This window comes from Homo sapiens, chromosome 9 (assembly GCF_000001405.40).
Source record: "Homo sapiens chromosome 9, GRCh38.p14 Primary Assembly".
NCBI classification, from domain to species: Eukaryota; Metazoa; Chordata; class Mammalia; order Primates; family Hominidae; genus Homo; species Homo sapiens.
In genome coordinates this window covers 107,232,723-107,260,174 of record NC_000009.12, presented here as the reverse complement: position 1 = coordinate 107,260,174, position 27,452 = coordinate 107,232,723, and the positions used below count along the sequence as shown (strand labels likewise).

General features: G+C 42.3%; 3 annotated features.

Annotated features, from left to right (window-relative positions):
• Positions 1,228-1,767: an enhancer, noted in NCBI's record as "H3K27ac-H3K4me1 hESC enhancer chr9:110020689-110021228 (GRCh37/hg19 assembly coordinates)". NCBI's record gives its function as "activates a minimal SCP1, AML or CMV promoter by ChIP-STARR-seq in naive H9 embryonic stem cells {active_cell/tissue: H9 hESC(naive)}" and the evidence as "EXISTENCE:reporter gene assay evidence [ECO:0000049][PMID:30033119]".
• Positions 10,409-11,375: an enhancer, noted in NCBI's record as "NANOG-H3K27ac hESC enhancer chr9:110011081-110012047 (GRCh37/hg19 assembly coordinates)". NCBI's record gives its function as "activates a minimal SCP1, AML or CMV promoter by ChIP-STARR-seq in primed H9 embryonic stem cells {active_cell/tissue: H9 hESC(primed)}" and the evidence as "EXISTENCE:reporter gene assay evidence [ECO:0000049][PMID:30033119]".
• Positions 15,452-16,651: an enhancer, noted in NCBI's record as "P300/CBP strongly-dependent group 1 enhancer chr9:110005805-110007004 (GRCh37/hg19 assembly coordinates)". NCBI's record gives its function as "activates an origin of replication core promoter dependent on BRD2, BRD4, P300/CBP, MED14 and CDK7 cofactors, with strong dependence on P300/CBP, by STARR-seq in HCT116 cells {active_cell/tissue: HCT116}" and the evidence as "EXISTENCE:reporter gene assay evidence [ECO:0000049][PMID:35650434]".

The window sequence follows — 27,452 nt, the reverse complement described above, 5'->3', positions numbered from 1 at the left end:
TGGTCAATAAATACACATTTGGAAATGCACTCCGTCTGGGTACGGTGGCTCACGCCTATAATCCCAGCACTTTGGGAGGCTGAGGCGGGTGGATCAATTGAGGTCAGGAGTTCAAGACCAGGCTGGCCAACATGGTGAAACCCTATCTCTACTAAAAACACAAAAATTAGTCAGGAGTGGTGGCACACACGTGTAGTCCCACCTACTCAGGAGGCTGAGGCAGGAGAATCGCTTGAATCCAGGAGGTGGAGGTTGCAGTGAGCCAAGATCGTGCCAATGCACTGCAGCCTGGGCAACAGAGTGAGATTCCGCTTCAAAAAAAAAAGAAAAGAAAAGAAAAGAAAAAGCACTCCAAGGCTGAGACTGGAAGATCGCTTAAGTCGGTGAGGTCGAGGCTGCAGTGAGCTATGATCGTCCGATTTCACTCCAGCCTAGGTGACAGAGCGAGATCCTATCTCAAATAGATAAATAGACAAAAAATAAAAAATAAAAAAGCATTCCACTTCACCAGTATTCAAACTCAACAGGAGTGATAACAACATATTAGTTATCACATATGGAACTTACAAGGAAATAATTTGAGGCAATATGCCTTATTAAATATTTAACCTTCATATGAAGTTGGAAAATGCCAAACAAGGTGATGCTGGGACAAAATGGAACAAATTGAATATTGAAAAAGATTATGTGATGAAAGTGACAATCAAATAAAGAAAAGGAAGATTACTTGGTTACATTATATTGGGACCATTAATTAAATGAAAAAAAAATCAGTTGGATTTATATCCTATACCATAGACTAAAATCATTCCAAACAGATGAGGGACTTACGTGTGAAAAATGAAACCTTTAAACAACTAGCAAGAAGTAGAGGTGAGTATTTACCTTATCTCAAGATAGGCAATGGCTTTCTGAGCACAAAATAAGGAATAAATTATAAAGTTAAAAGACTTAAGCTGGGTGCAGTGGCTCACACCTATAATCTCAGCACTTTGGGAGGCCAGGAAGGAGGATCACCTGAGGTCAGGAGTTCCAGACCAGCCTGGCCAACATGGTGATGAAACCCTGTCTCTACTAAAATATAAAAAATTAGCCAGTGAATCGCTTGAACTCGGGAGGCGGAGGTTGCAGTGAGCTGAGATTGAGCCATTGCACTCCAGCCTGGGAGACAAGAGGGAGACTCTGTCTCAAAAAAAAAAAAAAAAAGGCTTAATAACATCAATATCTATAATATATCTATTAAAAAACAAAGCAAAAACTACTTTAATTGCAATAATCTTTCATATGTAACATAGTAAGATAATACTCTTTATTGTTATCTTGCTAATCAGTTCAAATATCAAAGGGATACAGTTTTTGACTTATTTAATTGGCCAGGATTTGTATTAATGTGGCAATACTCAATGTAAGTAAAGATACAAAGAGATGGAGATTTTCTTGTGCTGCTTATAGACATATAAATAGGCAGTATTCCTGGAAAGTTATTTGGCAATATGTGTAAAAGGTCTTTAGAACTGTCATCGTTTTTGACATAATAAATCTACTTCTAGGAATTAATCCTAAGGAGATATTCAGAAATATGAACTCTTTTTATAAATAAGATTTATCCCTCTCCCTCTCCCTCTCCCTCTCCCTCTCCCTCTCCGTCTCCCTCTCACTCTCCGTCTCCCTCTCGCTCTCCCTCTCCCCACGGTCTCCCTCTCATGCGGAGCCGAAGCTGGACTGTACTGCTGCCATCTCGGCTCACTGCATCCTCCCTGCCTGATTCTCCTGCCTCAGTCTGCCGAGTGCCTGCGATTGCAGGCACGCGCCGCCACGCCTGACTGGTTTTGGTGGAGACAGGGTTTCGCTGTGTTGGCCGGGCCGGTCTCCAGCCCCTAACCGCGAGTGATCCGCCAACCTCGGCCTCCCGAGGTGCCGGGATTGCAGACGGAGTCTCGTTCACTCAGTGCTCAATGGTGCCCAGGCTGGAGTGCAGTGGCGTGATCTCGGCTCACTACAACCTACACCTCCCAGCTGCCTGCCTTGGCCTCCCAAAGTGCCGAGATTGCAGCCTCTGCCCGGCCGCCACCCCGTCTGGGAAGTGAGGAGTGTCTCTGCCTGGCCGCCCATCGTCTGGGATGTGAGGAGCCCCTCTGCCTGGCTGCCCAGTCTGGAAAGTGAGGAGCGTCTCCGCCCGGCCGCCATCCCATCTAGGAAGTGAGGAGCACCTCTTCCCAGCCGCCATCACATCTAGGAAGTGAGGAGCGTCTCTGCCCGGCCGCCCATCGTCTGAGATGTGGGGAGCGCCTCTGCCCCGCCGCCCCATCTGGGATGTGAGGAGCGCCTCTGCCCGGCCGAGACCCCGTCTGGGAGGTGAGGAGCGTCTCTGCCCGGCCGCCCCGTCTGAGAAGTGAGGAGACCCTCTGCCTGGCAACCACCCCGTCTGAGAAGTGAGGAGCCCCTCCGCCCGGCAGCTGCCCCGTCTGAGAAGTGAGGAGCCTCTCCGCCCGGCAGCCACCCCATCTGGGAAGTGAGGAGCATCTCCGCCCAGCAGCCACCCCATCCGGGAGGGAGGTGGGGGGGGGTCAGCCCCCCACCCGGCCAGCCGCCCCATCCGGGAGGGAGGTGGGGGGTCAGCCCCCCCGCCCGGCCAGCCGTGCCATCCGGGAGGGAGGTGGGGGGGTCAGCCCCCCGCCCGGCCAGCCGCCCCGTCCGGGAGGTGAGGGGCGCCTCTGCCCGGCCACCCCTACTGGGAAGTGAGGAGCCCCTCAGCCCGGCCAGCCACCCCGTCCGGGAGGGAGATGGGGGGGTCAGCCCCCCCACCCGGCCAGCCGCCCCGTCCGGGAGGGAGGTGGGGGGGTCAGCCCCCCGCCTGGCCAGCCGCCCCGTCCGGGAGGGAGGTGGGGGGGTCAGCCCCCCGCCCGGCCAGCCGCCCCGTCTGGGAGGTGAGGGGCGCCTCTGCCCGGCCGCCCCTACCGGGAAGTGAGGAGCCCCTCTGCCCGGCCAGCCGCCCCGTCCGGGAGGGAGGTGGGGGGGTCGGCCCCCCGCCCGACCAGCCGCCCCATCCGGGAGGGAGGTGGGGGGGTCAGCCCCCCGCCCGGCCAGCCGCCCTGTCCGGGAGGGAGGTGGGGGTGTCAGCCCCACGCCCGGCCAGCCGCCTCGTCCGGGAGGGAGGTGGGGGGGTCAGCCCCCCGCCCGGCCAGCCGCCCCGTCCGGGAGGGAGGTGGGGGGGGTCAGCCCCCCTGCCCGGCCAGTGGCCCCGTCCGGGAGGTGAGGGGCGCCTCTGCCCGGCCGCCCCTACTGGGAAGTGAGGAGCCCCTCTGCCCGGCCAGCCGCCCCGTCCGGGAGGGAGGTGGGGGGGGTCAGCCCCCCTGCCCGGCCAGCCGCCCCGTCCGGGAGGTGAGGGGCGCCTCTGCCCGGCCGCCCCTACTGGGAAGTGAGGAGCCCCTCTGCCCGGCCAGCCGCCCCGTCCGGGAGGGAGGTGGGGGTGTCAGCCCCCCGCCCGGCCAGCCGCCCCGTCCAGGAGGGAGGTGGGGGGGGTCAGCCCCCCCCGCCCGGCCAGCCGCCCCGTCCGGGAGGTGAGGGGCGCCTCTGCCCAGCCACCACCCCGTCTGGGAGGTGTGCCCAACAGCTCATTGAGAACGGGCCAGGATGACAATGGCGGCCTTGTGGAATAGAAAGGCGGGAAAGGCGGGGAAAAGATTGAGAAATCGGATGGTTGCCGTGTCTGTGTAGAAAGAAGTAGACATGGGAGACTTTTCATTTTGTTCTGCACTAAGAAAAATTCCTCTGTCTTGGGATCCTGTTGATCTGTGACCTTACCCCCAACCCTGTGCTCTCTGAAACATGTGCTGTGTCCACTCAGGGTTAAATGGATTAAGGGCGGTGCAAGATGTGCTTTGTTAAACAGATGCTTGAAGGCAGCATGCTCGTTAAGAGTCATCACCAATCCCTAATCTCAAGTAATCAGGGACACAAACACTGCGGAAGGCCGCAGGGTCCTCTGCCTAGGAAAACCAGAGACCTTTGTTCACTTGTTTATCTGCTGACCTTCCCTCCACTATTGTCCCATGACCCTGCCAAATCCCCCTCTGTGAGAAACACCCAAGAATTATCAATAAAAAAAAAATTAAAAATAAATAAAAAAAAAAAAAAAAAAAAAAAAGCTAAAAAAAAAAAAAAAAAAAAAGATTTATATATCATCCTCAAACATAATAGTAAAAATTAAAATATGGAAATAGTCCAACTGTTCAATACTAGAACACAGCAAATTATGTGCTCACAGCAAATTACGTTATATTTATTTGATAGAGTTGCTTACTCATCATACATCATGATTTTGAAGCATATTTACTGACACATAAAATGCCATTCATTCATTTGTTCATTTAGCAAACCTGTTTTGGTGACTAACGTATGCTAGACACTGTGGAAGGTGCTGGTTTTGTGTGGTGTTTTTGTTTGTTTGTTTGTTTGTTTTTGAGATGGAGTCTTGCTCTGTTGCCCAGGCTGGAGTGCAATGGTGTGATCTCGTCTCACTGCAACCTCCGCCTCCCTGGTTCAAGCTATTCTCATGTCTCAGCCTCCCGAGTACCTGGGATTATAGGCGCCCGCCACCATGCCGGGCTAATTTTTGTATTTTTAGTAGACCATGTTGGTCAGGTTGGTCTTGAACTCCTGACCTCAGGTGATCCACCCACCTCGGCCTCCCAATATGCTGGGATTATAGGCGCAAGCCACTGCGCCTGGCCTTGAAGGTGCTGGTTTTCACAGTGAAAGGCATGTTCTCTGGATCACACCTGCAGGAAAGGACAAAAAATAAATAAGCAAACAAATATATCACTTTTGTGATAAGTGCCCTAAGAAGAAAAATAAAATTAGATCAGAGGAGAGCAAATCATGTTAAGATGTGATACAATTATATCATGTTAGGAAATTATACTTATTAAGCATAATCCCAGGTTTGTAAAGTAATAAACCACCGCTGCCACCACCACTATAATAAATACATGTACATAAAGACATAGAAAAATGACTTGAAGGAAAAAAAGTTAAAATGTTAACCATGGTTAGCTCAGGGTAGTAGAACAGGTGATTTTTAAAAAATACATTTCCATTTTCCCCAAATTTCAATAATAAACATTTATTTTGAATCATAAAAATGAACCACAATATACATTATTAAAAGATTCATTTGATTTCTTTAAAATGAAAACAGATTTATATATACATGTTTATTGTTAAGTCAAACATTATATTTATATATACATGTTTATTGTTAAGTCAAATGTTATATTTATATATACCTGTTTATTGTTAAGTCCAATTACTTTAAAAAGAATATAATAGTCATTATGATGTTAGGCACAGAGTTTTTAAAAAGAGATCCTATTTTGGAAATATTCTTTATCTCTGTAAATTTAGCACAAATCATATTTTTGTCTCTTGCAAGCCCAGAGGCATGATTTTTCAGTATCACATAGTAAGCACATCCGTCTATCGGGGCAAACCAATATTTAGCAAGCTCCTCAGACTGGGATACAAAGCCAATGCCTATTTATTATTTAGAATGAGAAAGAATGCTAGCACATGGGCTGGAATACAGGGTGATATAAGCAACATATTTTCTCCATGAAGCCATGGAAAAAGGCTTTATTATCAGAAGGTTGTCTGGAGAGCCTAAAATTAGAGCAAGTAGGTGGTAGTTTTATGATTTGATTGTCTAATGAAATGCTTCTCCAAGTGTAGGTCCATGGACCACCTACATCAGTCTCATCAAGGATGATCATTAAAATGCAAATCCTCGACACTCAGCCAAAGCTACTGTATAGGAATCTCCAGATATGGGCCCAGAGTCTGCATTTTTAACAAGTATCCAAGGCGATATTTATGTGCATGGAAGTTTGGAAATCACTGGTACCTAGTGCCAGTGGAACCAGGATAGAAAGTAGCAATGCACCACTTTCTCCATACGGAAGACCTTGCCAATAGAAAATTAACAACTTGAGGGTGTTGGTAAGACTTACACTTTCCCAAATCTACTTAGGGAACACTGCTGATTTCAAACTCGGAGATTCTGCTTTTTATCTGATTCCTTAACTGTTTATGTTAACTTCATTTATTTACTGTCAAGTCACAGGAGAAAAGTTATTCTTTTTCTTTTCATATAACTGCCCAGATTTATATACTTGTATGTATTTTTACAGAGGTGTAATGACATACAGTGACAGTTTAACATACAATAATGAGATTTGACCAATGCATATACCCATATAACCCATACCCCAATAGAAAAATAGAGTGTGCCATTATCCTAGGAAGTTCACTAGTGTTCCTTTTCATTCTATCACTCCCTCCCAACTATCCTGGCAATCACTATTATGGTTTCTATCCTCACAGATTAGTTTTGCCTGTTCTTGAACTTTATGAAATGGTGTACTAATTAGAGGAAAATTCCATAACCATTATAAAAGCACTTTTAGTAGTTCTTTAATGAAGAGCCACTCTAAAAGTTCTTAAGAAACTCCAACACATTGCAATTTGCTTTCTTAAAGATAGAATACCTTAATTAAGTAACATTTCTTTACCTAGAGATACACACAGCATCCTGCTGAGGACCTTGGAAACTGTCCTTCTGCAGCTAGTTAGCTAGTTTTAAGCTTTCAGCTGGACATATCCAGTTGAAAAATTCTGATAATAAAAGAGAATATGCAGATGATCGAAAAATGGAATCAGTTCTTCTCACCCAAATGAATTACACTCCCAAGCTCACTCCCAAGCTTCTGCAAGATGAATTTGAAGATCAACTTGCTGAAATGCGATTCATAATACTTAGGAATAAGAACGTTTGAAAATCAGCAAATGTATACTCTTTGATTCCCAGACTGTGGACCAGAAACTTTGATCCTAGATTAGATTTCAAAAAGGATCAGTAACATTTCCCCAAACTTGAATTTCAACATACACGTATTCACTTTTGTACAACCTTTTCAGTCCTACAATCACGGTCCTCGACAGGGCCTAAAAGAATGTGACATCATTTGAGAAATAGTGCATACTTTCTACCATCCATTATTGTAATCCCATTGGCCCCATAACACTCTCTCTGGTCCTTCCCATTTTTGCATGCTTTGATCCTTCCAGGATATTAACATCCCTGCTACTATTTCTGTTGTTCTTTGCCACTCTCATGCAGTGATCACCTACCTCCATCTTTTTGAACATCCATTCTACGTCCTTGCTTAAAGGGCTCTGCCATCACTAGTTTCTTTGAGAGTCTCCCCTTCTCTCTTGTCTTCTCATTGGAATTATCCAAAGCCATGCTTTTGAGTGCTTGTTGATACTGTTTCCTTTTCTAGAAACTTGTGGAATTATGCCATATTTTCTTTTTCTTTTTCTTTTTTTTAGTAGAGACAGGGTTTCACCAGGTTAGTCAGGATGGTCTCGATCTCCTGACTTTGTGATCCGCCCGCCTCAGCCTCCCAAAGTACTAGGATTACAGGCGTGAGCCACCACGCCTGGCCGCCATATTTTCTTAAAATATTTTGGAGTCTAACTTCCTGAAGTCCTGTATCCACCTTTGTTCTAGCTCCATCAGGCTCTCCCCTGAAGATGACAGGCACATTCTCTAGTTCTCATCCTTTCCACTTTGCCAGGTGGCTTCTTCCTAAGGATTGGAATCAGTCAGAGCACAGTTGTTTTTATTCCTTCCTCTACCTTCTAGGACATAAAATTGTTAGAGAGGCAAGTGAAAACCTCTGCTTTTATCTGAATGAAGTATCCTGAATCTTATCCTCATTAATTGTGGGTACTGTGCCAATTTTGTGGCTTTCCTCCATGTGGCTCAGCTGTGCTTCCACAAAAACGTCACTTGTGTTCCTCTGTCCTTTCATCTTCATCCAAGTGTTCAGAGATTCCTCTCAATCTATTGTTATCACAGCCTACAGTGCAGCTTCTCCTCCTCTCAACAGGTCTTTTGTACACAGCACACCCTTCTATCACTATGTTCCCATGGATCTGTTCCAGCCCGCCAACTCTCAGTGGTATCTGTGAGGTCTTGTTTGTCACCCTGTGCTGTAATCTCAAGGTTACCACGTTGCTCATGTTCTGTGCATGATATCTGGACATCTGCTGCCTATGTTTTGTTTCTGATGTCCTTCCCAGCTGTTTTCTCATTGAACTATGCGGCACCTCCCTCACTGTTGAAATTCTTCCCAGGCCCTCCTTAATATCATCCATGGAAACCCGTTTCAGTTTTATCTAGGTGTTTTTTTCTCCTTTCCCATCTGTTTTCCATTTACAGCCCTTCTGGCCAGATGAGTTAGTCTCTGACTAAACACATTCTTTTCAGTCTTTGAAAAATTCTCTCCACTCTTAGCCAAATAGCCATCATTCCTACATTTGAAGCTATGGCCTTAAAATAAACTCCAGCACCAACTGTGTACCTAGTCATTGATTTTTCATATTATATTTTTATTCTCAATGTGCTCCTAAGTCTTTTATGTCCTGAGCTTCACAGCACCTTGTGATGCTTCCATATTCTATTTTAATGGGTTTTCATTTCCCTATAACTTGGCAGTAGATGACTTTGACCAGCCTCAGTAGGTTCTGCCATATGCTAGATTCATACTCCATGAACATAATACCCACTTCTTACATGGTTTGGTTATGTCCACTTACAGGCACTATCGTATCCCTTACCAGGGAGTCCCCAAGTCCCAATATGTGGCTTTTGCTCCATAGCTTTAGCATTTCCTATGTCCTCCTCCTCTGTGGGAAAGGGATTTTAAAGAGGTGGTGGAGTACGGTAGAAATAAAGCTTGCTCTGATACTTACTACTGGGTAGCTAAAAAGAACAAATAACTGAGAGGACTCTGAGCCTCTGCTTCCTCATCCTTCAGGTAGGGATCTAATACTGAATTTGCAGGGTTATTATGATGATTTCATAAGATATTATATGGGAAACCACTTTTTAAAAAATATTTTAACTTTTATTTTAGGTTTAGGGGTACATGTGCAGGTTTGTTATATAGGTAAACTCCTGAGTTGGGGGTTTGGTGTACAGATTACTTTGTCAATCAGGTACTAAGCCCAGTACCCAACATTTTTTTTTTCCCTGAACCTCTCCCTTCTCCCCTCCTCTACCCTCAAGTAAACCCCAGTACTTGCTGTTCCCCTCTACATGTCCATGTGTTCCTATTGTTTAGCTCCCACTCATAAGTGAGAACATGTGGTGTTTGGTTTTCTGTTCCTTCATTATTTTGCTAAGGCTAGTGGCCTCCAGTTTCATCTATGTTCCTGCAAAGAACATGATCTCGTTCTTTTTTATGGCTGCATAGCATTCCATGGTGTGTATACACCACATTTTCTTTATCCAGAGTACTGCTGATGGGCATTTAGGTTGATTCTTTGCTCTTGTGAATAGTGCTGCAATGAACATACACATGCATGTGTCTTTATGGTAAAACGATTTACAGTCCTTTGGGTATATACCCAGGAGTGGGATTGCTGGGTCGAATGGTAGTTCTGTTTTTAGTTCTTTGAGGAATCACTACACTGCTTTCCACAATTGTTGATAATTTACATTTTAAAATTTATTTAATTACACTTAATTAATTTACACTTAAATAAGTGTACATTTGTACACTGAGAGTCATACAAACATAGGTTTTAAGAATAATCATTGGGGGCCAGGCACGGTGGCTCACGCCTGTAATCCCAGCACTTTGGGAGGCCAAGGCGGGCGGATCATGAGGTCAGGAGATGGAGACCATCCTTGCCAACATGCTGAAACCCCATCTCTACTAAAATACTAAAAATTAGCCAGACGTGGTGGTGGGCGCCTGTAGTCCCAGCTACTCGGGAGGCTGAGGCAGGAAAATCGCTTGAACCCGGCAAGGGGAGGTTGTAGTGAGCCAAGATTGTGCCACTGCACTCCAGCCTGGTGACAGAGCAAGACTCTGCCTAAAAAAAAAAAAAAAAAAACCAAAAACAAAAACAATATTCATTAGATATTTAGGTTTTTACAAACCTGCAGAGCACATGCAGCATGTATGAGAAGTTGCCCAGCATTTTCCCCAACCCTACATTCATGCCTTAATCATGTCCTTTCCCCAGAGGATGATAGCAGGCATTGTGAAAGTCTGAACACAGCCTAAACATTCATGCCATGCCCCACTTTTTAAATTTTATTTTAACACTGTGTACACAAATGTTTCTGCTCATCCCAGCAGTGTGCAAGAATCTTTCTGTTTTCTAGAACCCTGGGCAGTTCTGACCTCTAGCTCAGGCAAAATCCGCCAAAAGCTAGCTTCATCTGTGAACTTGGCACAGCACAACCTTCTCTGCCCTAACTATGATGGGTCTGGATGATTTCTCTAATGAGTTTGTAGAACAATCATAATAACGACTAATGACTATAATAGCAACTACATTTCTCATGTATTGAATACCTACTATGTGTCACATGCTATGTTAAGTTCTTTATATTCATCTATGTTTTTCAACCATTAAAAAAATCATTGCTCTCCTAAGGAGCCGGTTAAGACATGTTTTTCTTAATCAACCCCTCTATGAAATTTTAATATCATAGATATACTGTGTATTTTTTTGAGTTCTCAAGAACCAATTTTCACCCCATTGGGGGCAATACTACCTGATTGAGAATGCATGATATGTACATATTTTCTTCTTCTCTCAGTCATTCCCCAAGTAATTGCTAAACTGTTTGCTCAGTCCCTGAGCTATTTACACAACTATTGACCCCAGGGAAAGAAACCTTGATTCAGAGGTGACGGGCACACATTCCATCTGAGGAAAGGCTGCATTTTTCACACAGGGCCCAGCTCCCAGGTCATGCCTGGGCAGACCCCAGCTTGATGAAGTCCTGTGGCCTCTCTCTCTGTATGTACTGGTTTCTTTGTGACCTTCTCCCCCAGGACCTCGAATGGGATGCTGGACATTCCTCCTGAGAAACCTGAGGAGGATATTAAAAACACAGCCACAGTTTTCCTACTGCTTGCTGCCAGGCTTCTTAGGGGCCCAGCTGCTGGGGTAAGATTTTGTAGATATTTTTAAATATACTGAAATATCTGAGGTTTCAAATGCTTCTTCAATTTTCTGACATGTTAAAGGGCTAGAAAATGTGGCAATGAGGAATGGTAGTCATACAGGGCTCGGCAGAAGAGAGGGCAAGAGAGAGAAGAGAAAGGAAGATTGGAAGAATGGGGGTGGAGGAAAGATAAAGGGAAGGGAGGGAAATTGTAATGGAAAGAGCAAGGGCCTTGGCATCCGACAACTGGCTCAGTCACTTTGTGACCCCGAGCAAGTTACTTAAACACGTTAGGACATAATTTCCTCATCTGTAAAGTGATAATAACACTTGTTTTCCAAGGTCTATTTGCTATTTGTATGTACAATATCTAACATATAAAAGGGGCTCAATTGTGTAAACGTTATGATTATTACATGTACATATTGAGAATAAAGGGATTAGAATAAAATAAATTTGCCAGTCGGTTTTTCTTCTTTTAAAAAGGGCTAATGGCTGAGCATGGTGGCTCATGCATGTAATCCCAGCACTTTGGGAGGCTGAGGTGGACGGATCACAAGTCAAGAGATCGAGACCATCCTGGCCAACATGGTGAAACCCCGTCTCTACTAAAAATACCAAAATTAGCTGGGTGTGGTGGCACGTGCCTGTAGTCCCAGCTACTTGGGAGGCTGAGGCAGGTGAACCGCTTGAGCCCGGGAGGCGGAGGTTGCAGTGAGCTGAGATTGTGCCACTGCACTCCAGCCTGGTGACAGTGAGACTCTGTCTCAAGAAAAAAAAGAAAGACAGAAAGAGCTTATGTGTGCCAAGAAATATGGGCACGGCCACAAGGCATTCTGGGACCTCAGGAACAAAGGCTGATGGGAGAGGACCACTGTGGAGTTTCTAAGGGGGCCAATAAAGAGCACTCCTTTTCTCCATTCAATTTTTGAGCCAATTGAGAAATAAAGCCAAGCAGTCAGCAGATGGAGGCCAACATACCTGCTACCTGCAGGTAGCTCCTTATTGATCAATGCTACTTGGGAAAGCATAGCTTCTATCTTCAAGCAAGTGCAGTTCTTATCAACTAAACTTTGGGATTTGACCAACTTGCCCATCAGCCTCAGGCAACACCAGAACAAGGCAGGCTTTGCCTCTGGAGAAAGATGCCCCTCCTGCGGGTAGCTCCTAAGAAAAGGAAAAAAGCTAAGCTATATATGACACAGTTTTTCTTCCAAATTCACCAACCGGGTAAGTCAGTTTGCCTAGAGGAGTGTGGCGGGGAGCCGAAGCCAGGTGTGTTATGCTAATGGATGTCCTGCCACATGGATGAGATAAATTAAGAGTGGGTTGGGTATGAGCCTCCTGTTCTCCAACAGTCTCAAAGTCAGTGCAGGAGGTGAGCAGAACCGAAGTTGTGGATGAGACCATAGAACTGGGCTCACAGTCCGGTAGATGGGATACAGTGGTGTGCTGGGAAATGCTTAACAATAGGCTCTTTGGAAAATAAAATACATCAACTTATAAATTTTATTGATACAAAAAAGGATGAGTAGCATGCCATTTATAAATAATAATAAAATATGCAATACCCTTATTTTAAGTCCCATATGGCCAATTGACTCTCACAGAATGCTTTCATTGATTTTTACTGAACTCTTGTCTCCATAGCCAACCGATGGTTGCAATTCAACCATGATTTGATAAGTGGAGTAATTTCCACCATACAAATAACACTACAGTCATACAAATAACACTACAGTCAATGTAAATAACTCAGAGCATAGACAGTAGTAAAATGTAGTAAGATAAGAAGTGATGAGTTTTGAGTATGACCTTTATTTTTAGTATAGATTAATTAAAAGTTTATATGACTCAAATTTTAATACTGGGGGTGTTTAACAGTCCAACTTGCAAAAATCCTGAAAATTTATCAGTCGGCTCCTGCTTCTGTATTACCACTGAGGCATACCCTACGGTCCTAATTATGTTTTACAGGTATAGCAAATTAGAGTTCAATCCCATCCCAAGAAAATTTTTGGGTGTCTCATGTGGAGGGGGGCGGCCAGTTGCTTGCATGGATGTCATAGCAAGAGGAATGGCATCCAGGAGGGGGCAGTGTAGTTTCAGGTGGTCCCTTATGAAGGGAATCAGACCTCAGCCTGTGGTTACTACAGGATGAAAAGGGGCCACTTCTAGGGGGCTGAGACTGTGGGCTTCCCCCTGGGTATGGGCCAGGGGAACATTCAGAAAACCAAAACAGAAGTCCCGAGGTGCTATTGTGAATGACAAGGGGTCAGGGGAGAAGCCTCCAGACCTAGCACCCATCTGGCTACAGGGCAGGGTAGCAAGGCCCACTCCACCCTACTCTGGTGTGGCAAAGACTCACTCTGGACAGATGATGAACTTGGACTCAGAAGTTGAGTGGGGCAGAACTTAGTTACCTGAGATAGGGCTCAGGGCCTGCAGTTGAGAGACCTAGCAAGCGGAGACCAACACCAGAAGCAAAGCAGAATTTTCTAGTCAAACAGTTTGGAGCCTTGGAGGGCATGAGCAGAATCACAGTCCTGCAATTTCCAAACTGCTGTCTTTCCTGCACACAGGATGTGTGGTTGGGTCTTTAAGCAAGAGCAAGTACATAGCACAGCCCACCCATCAACAGAGGCTGATGTGAGAAGTTCATTACATTTAATTTATTCCAATTCCATTGTATATGCACACAGTCACTTTCACTTTCACTTTCAGGAAGGCCCACTCAAAACTTGGCTGGGTGTGGTGGCTCAGGCCTGTAATCCAGCCCTTTGGGAGGCTGAGGCAGGAGGATCACTTGCATCTAGGAGTTTGAGACCAACCTGGGCAACACAGTGGGACCCCATCTCTACAAAAAATAAAAAAAATAGCTAGATGTGGTGTTGCGTGCCTGCAGTCCTAGCTAGTTGGGAGGCTGAGTTGGGAGGATCATTTGAGCCCAGGAGTTAGAGGCTGCAGTGAGCCACGATCATGCCACTACACTCAATTTGAGTGAAACAGAGACCTTGTCTCAAAAATAAATAAATAAATAAATAAATAAATAAAATTTAAAGCTTATTTTAGGAGTGTGAAAATGTTACGGTGGGATGATTTGTTTTTTTTTCTGAGAGCTGAGGTAAACCCGGCCATCTTAAAAGAGCAAAATTGGTACCTGGAGCAATCACATTTTCTTATTAATTTAGGCAAAATGGCCCTTAAAATTTTTCTAAATTACTCAAATCATTTATATAAAAAAGACGTTTGTTTGTTTGTTTGTTTTTTCCCCTAAATTCGCCTGTTAAGATGCTCAGTTTCTTTCCTTGTTTTGTTTATGAAAGTCCAGCTTTGTATGAAAACTGGAAAGTCCGGGGTTTCGCGTGAGTTGTCCTGATCTCCTTGCTTGCCCCAGGCATGAATTATCAGGCTCCCTGGCCACAGGATAAAAGTCACCTCACAACTGATGGATGGGCCTTATGATAATAGAAGATCTTAATTTGAGACAACATGTGAGTCCATCTCACGCTGTCATTTTTAATAGTTTATGAACTGTAAACTCAGTAGTATATTAGATATAATGGGAAAACAGCAAATTTTGAGAGATTAATGGCTAGAGTAAATCAGTTCAAGTTGTCAAATTACTTATTTATTATAAAAAGTATGTTTGGGCCAGGTGTGGTGGCTCACGTCTGTAATCCCAGAACTTTGGGAGGCCGAAGCGGGCGGATCACTTGAGGTCAGGAGTTCAAGACCAGTCTGGGCAACATGGTGAAACTCTGTCTCTACTAAAAATACAAAAATTAGCCAGGCATGGTGGCTCATGCCTGTAATCCCAGTTACTCAGGGGCTGAGGCAGAAGAATCGCTTGAACCTGGGAGGCAGAAGCTGCAGTGAGCCAAGATCATGCCACTGCATTCAGGCCTGGGTGACAGAGTGAGACCCTATCTCAAAAAATAAATACATGAATAAGTAAAAAGTATTTTTACCTCAAAATATTGTCATGTCTTTTATAGAAGAATAAGAAAAAAGATATTAAAATAATTAACAAATAGGGTCACAGTATACACACTGTTTTATAACTTAAAAAAACCTTTTAACAAATGGATCATTTTCAACATGTACATAAGTAGAGAGAAGTGTATAGTAAACTTTCAAACTTCCTCAATCTTGTTTCATCTATATCTTTACATTCTCCAATCAGCATAGTATTTTTTCTCTAAAATATAGAACTAAAAAAAAAACCATTATCACACTTAAAAATAATTATAAAAATTCCATAGTATAATTCAATAATTGGTCAGTGTTTACATTTCCTTAATATTCTGTATGTGTGCATGCTTAGACTTATGAGGGCAATGCAGTACATTGCAACTGGTTAATATGTTTCCTGGCTGGACATGGTAGTGTGCACCTATAGTCCCAGCTGCTTGGGAGGCTGAGGCAGGAGGATCACTTGAGATCAGGAAGTTGAGGCTGCAGTAAGCCATGATCACACTATGCACTCCAGCCTGGGCAACAGAGTGAGAACTTGTCTCCCCCATTAAAAAAAAAGTTTCATAAGTCTCTTTTAATCTGTAGGTTTTTCTGATATCTTCCTCTTTTCACTATTTATTGAAGATACAACTTTTAAAACAATATATCACAATTTCCTATCATTCTTCAAGACTTCATAATATTTCATTGTATGAATATTCCATAATTAAGTTTCATAGCCTTAGATTTTTGGATAATTTTCAATATTTTCGTAATATTCAATCTACTGCAATAAACACCCAGTACATACATCTTTCAAGACTTGCTTATTTCAAGAAAAACTAATAGACACAGAATTGCTGATTGAAAGAGAATCTCTCTCTTTCTCTATCTCAATCTCTCTCCCCCAGTGCTTTTTCCAATGATTTGCTTTACTTCTAAAGTAAGATATGAATTTGCCTCTGAATTTGATTTAAATTTAAATTCTCCAAATAGAAGATTTCTGCAATAAACACTGAAATCATTTCTTACTATACAGGTAGGATTCAGGATTTGGTAGCAGTTTCTCTTGTCACAGAAAGGTCAGGGAGAGATTTATGGCAAGATGACTGTTACAGGTGTTCATAGTCGCACAGCAGGTTAAACTGGAAAGCGTCATATGTCTTCCATGACTCACCCCTCTGGCTTGATGAGTCACTTTGACCTGAAAATGTAACTCTCTTTTACATGATTGATGAAAAACCCTGAGTATGTAAATAGAGTGCCTCAGGAAACGTGTTCATTCCTCCTTTGATGGCTGTGATCAATCTGTAAGGCCACAAGAAAGTCTACATCTCCGGGAGTGAATGTGAATGGTTGTTATTGCCACAGAAGATTCCACGACTTCCTTTGAAAGCCTCTCTGGAATCTAAAACATGATTGAGTGAATGGAAAGGTGGTGAGATCATGAAAAGTCATGAATTGATAATTATCAAAGCTGAGTGTTGGGTACATGTTGGTTCATTGTGCTATTCTCTCTAATTTGGGGTATGTTTGAAAATTCATGTCCATAATAAAAATTTAGAAAGTCTCTTGGAGCAATATGGCCAACCTATGGCCATGTGCCCCTGGATGGCTCTCCAGGTTCTAATTACAGCCCTTGAAGCAAGCACGAGTGAATAAGGTGTAACAATAAATTACTGTAATGGGGTGTTTTTAAAGTAATAAGAAGCCCTTGGAGAGATTTCAAATGATATTCCATGTGAGCATGTGCCACCATTCACTTTTATTTAGTGCAATAAACGAATCATGTAGGAATATTTTAGAAGAGAAATTATTGTGGCCCATTGTCAATGACGCTGGGAGATTCTGCCTAAGAATCTCCTTTGTCAAAGGGACCACTCTTGCATTGCAGTCTTAAAAAAAAAATTGTAATTGGAAAATTCTACTTTCTGTATAACCTGAAGCATAAAAGCTATTGAAAACAGCTATGGTGTACCAAACTGGGATTAGTGAGATAGCATCAGCCCTGATTATTATTATGTTTTTCTTTTCAACTTCTTTAGAAAGCCAGGGATGCCTGAGGACCTCAGACAATTGCATACAGTAAGCCAGTACCTAGAGAGGCTCTAGAAAATCAGGTACTTAAAATTTTAATGGTAGAATTAATCTTAGGTCCTGGAGGAAAAAAAATTTGGATATAAAAAATGCTTACAGTAGTTATACAGATATTTGACTTATTAGATGACTCCTCACAGTAGGCTCAAGACTAGGTGTTAAAAAGGCAAAGTCAAATCACTTAACTAGTCTCAGTGATGATTATGTAAAGAGAAGAGGGAAAATGCCATTTTACGAGTCAGCAACCACTAGCAAGCAGATGGCAGATGTTTTGTGTCCCCACGCCCTGACAATGAAACTAGAAAGCTATAACCGTTAATGAACATAATTTAAATCTTGATCATAAAAGACCTCATTTCATTTCATAAAATAATGAAGGTTTTATCCCTGCAAGGGATTCCTCATTCTACGCATAAGGAAGCAAAGAATGAATGAGATTTATAAACTCAAGGTTAGATTGAAATCATAGTTTTCTTCTGATTTATTACATGTTTCCCCCCTATTTTGGAGAGTTAGTTTGCCATTGTGACACTGGTTATAGAACAGATCCTTAATACTCAAGGTTTAACATTTGTAGTTCCACTCTATTTTCTTTCTTTCCTTCTCTCTCTCTGTCCCTTTCTCCCTTCTTTCTCCCTCTCTTTCTCTGTCTTTTCCCTTCCTTCCTTCCTCCCTCCCTCCCTCCCTTCCTCCCTCCCTTTTCTTTTTTCTTTTCTTTTTCTCTTTCTTTCTTTCTTTCTTTCTTCCTTCCTTCCTTCCTTTCTTTCTTTCTCTTTCTCTTCCTTCCTTCCTTCCTTCCTTCCTTCCTTCCTTCCTTTTCTTTCTTTCTCTTTCTTTCCTTCTTTCTTTTTCTTTCTTTCCTTTCTTTCTTTTCTTTTCTTTTCTTTCTTTCCCTTCCTTCCTTCCCTCCCTCCCTCTCTCCCTCCTTCTCTCCCTCCCTCTCTCTCTCTTTCTCTCTCTCTCTCTTCCTTCCTTTCTTTCTCTTTCTTTTCTTTTCTTTTCCTTTCTTTTCTTTCCCCACCTCCTGGTTCAAGTGATTCTCCTGGCTCAATCTCCTGAGTAGCTGGGATTACAAGTGTGTATCACCATGCCCAGCTAATTTTTTAATATTTTTAGCAGAGACGGGGTTTCACCGTGTTGGCCAGGCTAGTCTCAAACTCCTGACCTCAAATGATACCCCTGTCTCAGCCTCCCAAAGTGCAGGATTACAGGTGTGAGCCACTGTGCCTGGCCTCACCTGGCCTTTTGATAGTTCTTTTTGTGCCCTAACCCACGTGTCCTAGTAAACACCTATGTAGCCTTTGGCTCATAGCTGAATTTCCACTTCTTCTGAGAAGCATTCCTTGACTTGGAGTCCTAGTCAGGTACCAGAGTTAGAAGCTTTCATAGCACTCCAGCCCTTAGCTTTGTAAAACTGATCGCAGTTTGTAACTATGTGCCTATCTATGATTATTTGATTATGGGCTACTTCCTTCCTTCAGGGGGCAGTGACTCCTGTGGGAGCTGGGGCTGTATCTGCTTGTGCTCCCTGTGTTTTTGTCGTTTTTATTTTTTTGTAGTAAATAGTAGGCCTTGGGCCTTTAAAAAATATGTAGTTATAAAACATTTCAAAGATTTAGAAAAATATCCAGAAGAGTATAATAAATGCCTGTGTACTTACCAGTCAGTTTTAACAAATACCAACATTTTGCTAGAATTGCTTCAAAAATTTTTTTAAGAACAAAAACATTGGTTTTTAATTAAAAGCATTGTAAATTCCTCTCAATCCCACAGCGCTCCTTTCCTCTCTGCAGAAAAACACTTCTCATGAAGGTGTTGTGTATCACTCTTCTACACAAACAAGCCATAAGTTACATGCCACGGTCCATCTACATACATAGCCAGGAAAGATAATACTCAGCTTTGCCAGCATACATGGGTAGCTAAAACTCATCTATGAGTTGCTAAAACAGAAAACTTTAAAAAATGGAGTTGCTGGAAGTGAGCAAAGTACCCTTATTCATGAGAATCTATGAATGGCATGCTCCTTAGAAAGAGAGCTGATGCTCTGTTTGGTTCAGACTTTTCCAATATCTGATGTAAGCCAGTCATTTTCTACTGTCTCTTTAAAATCTTTTATGGTTTACTTAAAGTTGTCTATGTTCTGACATTAGCTTGAATGTTAGACATTTCAAGCTCCATTAATATAACCTGACAAAGAGAGAGTGTTGAATACTCGTGCAGAGTATGAAGAGCTGGGGTGAAATCTTTCTTTTTCTTTTTTTTTTTTTTTGAGAGGGAGTTTCTCTCTTGTTGCCCAGGCTGGAGTGCAGTGGTGCAATCTCTTCTCACTGCAACCTCTGCCTCCAGGGTTCAAGCGATTCTCGTGCCTCAGCCTCCCAAGTATCTAGGATTACAGGCACCTACAAACATGCCTGGCTAATTTTTGTATTTTTAGTACAGATGGGGTTTCACCATGTTGACTAGGCTGGTCTCAAACTCCTGACATCAGGTGATCCACCCACCTCCCCCTCACAAAGTGCTGGGATTACAGGCATGAGCCACCGTGCCCAGCCAGGGGTGAAATCTTTATTAACTCAATGATCTAGAGCAGTGAGCTCCTCTGGGCAGCATCATGGGCATCACTGGGGAACTTGTTAGAAATGCAAATCCCCAAGGCCTGCTGGAGACCTACTGCATGAGAATCTCGGGGTGGGGCCCAGCAATCTGTGTTTTCACAAACCCTCCAGATGATATTTGGGGCACATTAAAGATTGAGAACAACTGATCTAGGGCAAGGACCTTAAGCTCTTTAAGCCTCAGTTTACTTATCTGTAAAATAGGAATGATAGCAATATTTTTTATGACACAGCGTCTTTGCGAGGATTAAATATTAATTAACATTTATTGAATACTTAGTGCTAGACACTGTTCTTAGCATTTCCCATCTCTTAGCTCACTTGAGCCTTAACTCCTTAAATTAACTCATCACAAATAAAAGGAGATTAGAAAAGTACCTGGCATATAGCAAGCACTCTAACTTTTAGTATTATGTTATTATTGTTACCTTTTTGAGCTGAAAAGATTAAATGAGAGGATGTACTTAGCAAGGCATCTAATACATAGCATGTACTTAACAAGTATTAACTATTTGCGTGTAAAAGTATTTGTCTAATGAGTACAAAATATTCACGTGGGTCCTTATGGGAAGTATGGCCTAGTCCAAAAACAACAACAACAAAAACTGATAGAGAAACTCCCAATGGGACAAAAAGCCACCATAGAAAAAAGTTTTATAGATCACATTTCAATATTTCTTTTTCTGATTTGTCATAAGCTAGGAAGCCAAAGAGACCTCTTTGAACTAAGTGGGAGGGCCGAGAAGGTAATTACACTCCAATTAAGCTGGTAATAGCTGCCCTCTATTGGAGAGATCAAAAGCCAGAGAATCACTGCTTATGAGGAATTTTGAAGACAGGCTGCTCTTTGTGATGAGCAACTGGAAGTTTTGACCCTACAAAGTAGCTCAGAGAGAGGGAATTAGCTGCCTGCTGGTGTCCAAGAGAAAGACAAGAAAGGTGCAGGCGGAGGCAGAACAGTTAAAAGTTTGTCAGAGAAGTGCTAATGTGCATTTGGGCATTTGTATTTGTTTTAAAATTTTGCTCTGAATTGTGCCTTCTAAAATAAAAAGTCTCTAGTAATTACTCTGCAGTTTTATATAAAGAATTTCTATCTCTTGGGAAAGGATTTTTTGCATAGAAAATCAGGCTCTACCTTGTCTGCTATGAATGGGAAACCAAGCAGTTGAAGTCTTTCCTATTTTCACTCTCTTCCCCAGCTAAACTGACCACTCCCTCTTGTGACCCCAAAACACTGCTGGCTTCTCCTGTTATGGCACCTAGTACACTCTGAAGTGATTATTGTTTTTCTTGACATAGACCAGCACTGTCCAATAGAAACATAATGCGAGCCACTTATGTGATTGGAAGTTCCCTGGTAGACACTTTACAAAAGTAAACAGAACAGATGAAATTCATTTTAATAATATATTTTATTTAAATCGACATCTCCTAAATGTTATCACTTTAATATGTAGTCATTACACAAATATTAATGAGATATTTTACAGTCTGTTTTGCTACTAATTCTTTGAAATCCTCTGTGCATTTGACATTTACAGCACAGCACAATTTAGATCAATCACATTTCAAATGCTCAGTAGCCACATGTGGTTAATGGCTTCTGTATTTGATAGTGCTGGACTACAGCATGAACATCTCAAAGGCAACTGTAATGTATCTTTGTCCCTACAGTGCTTTGTGCAATGCCTAGGGCATAAACGCTGTTCCATAAGTAAATGTGGTAGACAGAATTCTAAGATGGCCTCCAACCACCCTTGCCCTTGTGTAATCTCCTCCTCTTTGAGTGTAGGTGGAAGATAGGAATCTGATGAGGTATCAGTCTCTTAATTGTGATGTTTATGGCAATTGGGAGGTTGTCTTGGGTGGCCTGCACCAATCAGGTGAGTCCTTTAAGAGCAGAGCATTTTCTCTGACTGGTAGCAGAGGAAGAAATCAGAGAGAAATGTAATTGCTGGCCTGGAAGAAAGCATACAGCTATGTAGCGAATTGCTGATGGAGAGGAGCAGCCTCTAGGAACTGAGAGAGATCCCCAGCCAACAGCTCTTAAGAAAACAGAACCTTAGTCCTACAACCACGCAGAACTGAATTCTAGCAACTATGAGCTTGTAGGAGGGTCTTGCATCCCAGGGGAACCACAGCACAACTTACACTTTGATTTCAGCCATGTGGTGCCCAGATTTCAGACCTACAGAACTGTGAGCTAATACATGGGGTGTTGTTTAAAGGCATTAAATTTGTTACACAGCAATAGAAAACTAATATAGCAAATAAATGTTTCAATTGAGCAACGATCATCTAGATGACGACGATTTCTCTAAACCTTAAGCACAGTCCCTGAGAGGAAACAGTAACCACTGAACATGAGACTTCAGAGTCAAACCAGTATCCTGATGGCGACATAATTATCTTAACCATGCCAGGGTAACAGCAATCTGTGATGTTTGAGTCATTCTCTCTTTCCCCGTGCCATTTGAATCAGACAGAAAGGCTAAGTGAGGAGTGAAAAAAATGACAAAGTATTTGGAAGTAAGTTTGGGATACTCATCTTGTAAAGGAATGATTATTGATTAAACAGAGGCAAATGTGACGAATAATAATAATGACAATGATAAGGGTAGCTCACATTGGTTGGGTTTGTACTCTGTGCCAGGCATATCACCCCTTGCCTCACTATATCCTCATCACAGCCATGGAAGGTAGATAGTAATATTGTATTCATTTTATGGATGTGGAACCTGAGGCTTAAGAGGTAGAAGGTTTACTTGCATAACCAGACAATAAAGATGATTGGGAAAAAAAGAGGAGATATTTTTGGATGAAGCACTATTCAGAGCAGATTACCTTGACTCAGATGCAGCTCTTTGTCTTGAATGACAGAGAACTCCATTTCTTCTGTGTTAACAGGTTCTCATTATACCCTTTCCTTTAACAAAATGGTCCTCAACCCCTGCATTTCAGTCTTCACATTTTCTCCTTTGGAGGTATCACTGAATCCTGACCCCCAATAATGTTTCTGGTCTTCACTCTGAAAGGCATATCTTGAATCCTGTGTTTCTTCTGAACTCCAGCCCTCTATGCCACTTAGATGTCTCATTATCCTCTCCTGTTCAGTTTATTCAAAATGAAGTTTATCATTATGCCCTGAAAACCAGTTCTCTTCCCCAGTACTCTAATCCTGTGAATGATTCCATAATCTGTCTCATCCATAAGGCTCCAAATCCCAAAGACCATTCCACTGTATCTCGTTTCCCTTTCCTTTAGCCAATCAGCTGTTAAAGTATCTTTCCAGAATGTTTACTCAACTATTTCTACATTCTCCAACTTCCTGAGCCCTTTAGGCCACTAATCTTCTTCCTTTCTTCCTTCTCCAGTTTGATTCTATGATGCATCAATTCAGTCACTCTTGCCAGAGCCCAAAGCCCCTTGCTACTCTATTTTTTATCATTTCTATTTGATACAACTTAGACCCAACCATCTTTCTCTTCTACTAGGAGGCTGAACAGTACCGGAGAAATTGCACAGAAGGAAGATAGAGTTAAAATAGAACTCTTCGTTCTAGTTTTCACTGGGCCCCAAAACCAAAGATGCCAAATACTGTCAAATTCCAAGGCAAAGTATTAGCCCATCTATCAAAGACTTCTAAAGAACGTGCATGAAAATAGGTTTTGTGATCTGTACTTTACCTTTAGCTGTGAATTCTTCCTATTTGACACTCCTTACCACCCCATCCCCAGACCCTCCATCATGTGAGAACTTCAAAGAGATCTTGTTAGGTATCTTTTGAAACTTGGAGACACGGGCAGGAATTGACTTATGCCAAAAGAGAAAGCCTTTGAGTGAGAGGCTGGCTGAAGTGAACAGTATCAGCACAGCAGAGGGCTGCACTTAGGAAGTAAGCACTTTTTGGCTTATGCCAGGCCAAAGTTGTATTTTTCTGGGGACCAAATAAAATCCACAGTAGGAATGTGAGTCTGAGTTGTTTTATAAGGAATTCTAACCCAGAGGGCTTCCTGGAATGGATGAGGTGTCCTTGACAAAAAGAGGTTGAAGGTTTCACTGGATGGAGAAGTAGAGGGAGATTGTAAACAGCTGCTTAAAGGGGAGGCACTACCTGAGTGAAGGAATTCCAGTTGGACAGGTCCAGAAGGTGAGTGTCTGAGGAGGCTACAGATACTGAGATGAGAGCATAAAAGTCAGCTTGAAACATCAGCCAGAGCCAGAGGGCAGCTACACCAGCTTATACCTATGTAGGTCAAATAAGACCTTTCTTCCTCTTCCCTTCCTGCTGTCTCTGCTTCCCATCCTGGAAGACCCATTGGTAGCTAAGTGCTGGGGAAACAAAGTCAGGGTCATGGAGAAGTAGCATTAAAGGGAACACAGAGATGGGTATCTCATTCCCCACTATAGGCCCCTTAGTCTAAAGCATTGCCAAGCCTACGATGAAGTTGGGAGTTTCTGGGCAGATTAATTTATAAACCGAGGTTGTGGTTTGGAACTGAAGTGACCAGAGGGCATTTTATTATCTGAGATGATCAGAGAGTCCAAAGACCTTTCTATTATTTCATTTGAAGTTGGGGAGGGGAAAAGAACTGGCCTAAAAGAAGATTCAAATGGGCAGTTGAAGGTGAAGAATAAAGCTATTTTCTTTTTGCATCCTAGGAATCCAGCTTGCTCACGGGTATCATTCTATTAGTATCATTAAATACATGAATCATCTCAATCATCCACAGCTGGGTTTCAAACTTCAAGCCATGGCAATTCTATAACATCTGTCTGGTGGACATGCGCTCCTATTCTCTGCAAAGCTACCTTAAGCATCTCTACCTTCCTTAATTTCCGAACTTATACTGCCTCCTTACACTCAGATGATCTTGCTTCAGTCTTCACAGAGAAAGTCATATCCATCAGATGTGAGCAAACCCTCCATTTATTTTATATTGCCAAATGGAGCTTGGAACTAAGAGTATTAATTGTTAATCAACACATATGTTACAAATATGTAATGGATGGCTCCACTATTTGAAAATGGTATAGGCCCAGTGTGGTGGCTCAAGCCTGTAATCCCAGCACTTCAGGAGGCCAAGGTGGGAAGATCACATGAGTCCCGGAGTTTGAGACCTGCCTGGGCAGCATAGTGAAACACCATCCCTAAAAAATAAAAAATAAAAAAAAATTAGCCAGGCGTGGTGGCATGTGCCTACAGTCCCAGATACTTGGAGGCTGAGGTAGGAGGATCACTTGAGCTCTGGAGATTGAGGCTGCAGTGAGCTGTGATTGTGTCACTGCACTCCAGCCTGGGTGTCAGAGTGAGACTCTGTCTTGAAAAAAGAAAAGAAAATATATTCTCCTTGGCAGGTGCACTGTTGCCTCTATAATCTTATTTTCATTATTGGTTTGCTTATTTGTATTAAAACCTACGAGCGGATCTAAAGTCAAGTTTTAATTTATATGTGTGGTATTTTGTAAAATACATCCCAAAGATTGCCATTCATACAGTATTTCACAATATTTGAAATAGGGTATTTTACGCCTTTGCTATTACCTTCAGAGAGCTTTTGTAGTCTCAATTCTCTTATTCCATCTAATTACAACTTCATTTTAAAAGCAGCTGGGAGTATATATACCCTCAGCATTTAAGAATGTTACATTTAATGTATTGAATGAGTTTTTAATTCCAGTATAACTAACAAAAATAATTTAAAAACAGAATTGCTAATGGAAGCATGCTTCTCTATATAATTTACATTATCATAAAAGAACTCTAAGTTCATTATAGAAAATTTGAATATCACAGGGAAGTATAAAGAATAAAATAAAAATCAGTCATAATCACACTGTCACTTCCATACTCATTCTTAAGATTTCCCAGTCTTTTCTACTTTTCAAAGCTGATAAAATAGTGCACATACTCTGAAAAAATCCTGCTGTTTTACTCCCTGAAGATTATATAGCAGCCATCTTTTTTTCCTGTGTCGTGTAATACTCACTAACAATCTAGTTTTGATGACTGAAGTGTATTGTATCAGTTTATAATGAGTTATAATTTATTATATTATAATGCCTATTATTGTATACAGTATTGTAGTATATAATCTTACCCTAATATAATTTATGTAGCAATTCATAGCATGCTTATTTTTAGAAATAGAAAAATCTGATACACATTTGTCTTCTGGCATGTAATCAGGTTTGGTATTTTCATCCCACCATCAATAACCTTAAATTTTTTGCCAAATTATACTCACTTTGTAATCTGTAAACAATTACAGTCCCATTTTATTTTACTTAATTAATTAATTTATTTTTTGAGATGGAGTCTCGCTCTGTTGCCCAGGCTGGAGTGCAGTGGTGCGACCTTGGCTCACTGCAACCTCTGCCTCCCAGGTTCAAGTGATTCTCCTGCCTCAGCCTCCCAAGTAACTGGGATTACAGGCATCGGCCACAATGCCCAGCTAATTTTTGTATTTTTAGTAGAGACAGGGTTTCACTATGTTGGCCAGGCTGGTTTCGAACCTCTGACCGCAAGTGATCTGCCTTCCTTGGCCTCCCAAAGTGTTGGGATTACAGGGGTGAGCAACCGCACTGGACCTGCAGTCCCATTTTAAATTCAGCAAAAACAAAAAGGCCACCAAGCTCTTTAAATGTCTGAAATTGCAGTCTCCACTCATGGTCTCTGTTTTCCCTATTTCATTTATTGCTTAATTCCTTGTTATCCAGCTCTCCCCCTTCTTGAATTCTCCTTTTTATTCTCCCCTCTGTCTCTCTTCAATAGGAAATTTGCCTTTATTGGCTTTTTCTTTACTGCTAAATGCTCATAGAAAAATCAGATATTACACATAAAGCTCATGGGCCTTATATTTGCCTGCATATCAGGGGTGGAACCATTTGGCGGGAGACTCATATATACCAAGTTCATCACACTGAAGTATCAGAATACTGGGTTTTAAACTTACCCAATTAATAGTGGAGTTGTCATGTGGTCTGAAATGCTCTAAGTCTGTATGACTAACATTTTCTCTTACCGAAGATAGATATTCAAGGGAAGCCAAACCATAAACAGTAGTTTGCTTAATAAGAATGACACCAGAGCAAGAGAGTTTGGATTAGACATTTAGAATGTTCAGTGGCAACAGGCAACCCCACGTGTGCATCATAATAACTAAGGTTAGATGTGGTGTTAGGGTTGGGCTGAGGCAAGGAAACTGCGATCCTGAGAAATCCATCAAGGAGATGAGTGCCATTTTGAAGCTCCCCTTGTGAGACAGCTGGTTGGCCTTCTTAAATCTGTCTGTCTTAACTGTGCATGGTGCACCTTCCTATCAGAAACTACTGCATTGATCACTTGCATCTTTCTTCACTGTCTCTTCTTCCTCCTGGTCATCCATGACTCTTGCTTTTTTGGTCCTCCTCCTATGTCTGATGGTTCTTTCATTAACTTCTTTCTATGCTAACTCTTAGTTCTTACATCTCTGAAGCAGCATGTTTATACGAATTCTGCCCTGGGCCTTAAAGTAGTTATTAACATGGCTCACTGATGGCAGCACGCCTTTTTCCAGACTCATGGTTGGATGATATTTCCTGCCTCCTTGGTGGTTGAGTGGGGCTATGTGATGACTCCTGGCCTTTGATATATGAGCAAGATAATGTCTGTCATATCTGGGCTAGAATATCTAATTGCCAGCGTGAGATCCTCCTTTTTTTCTGCTGTAGAAACTAGCAATGTTCCAGGTGGGTGGTTTGCTCAT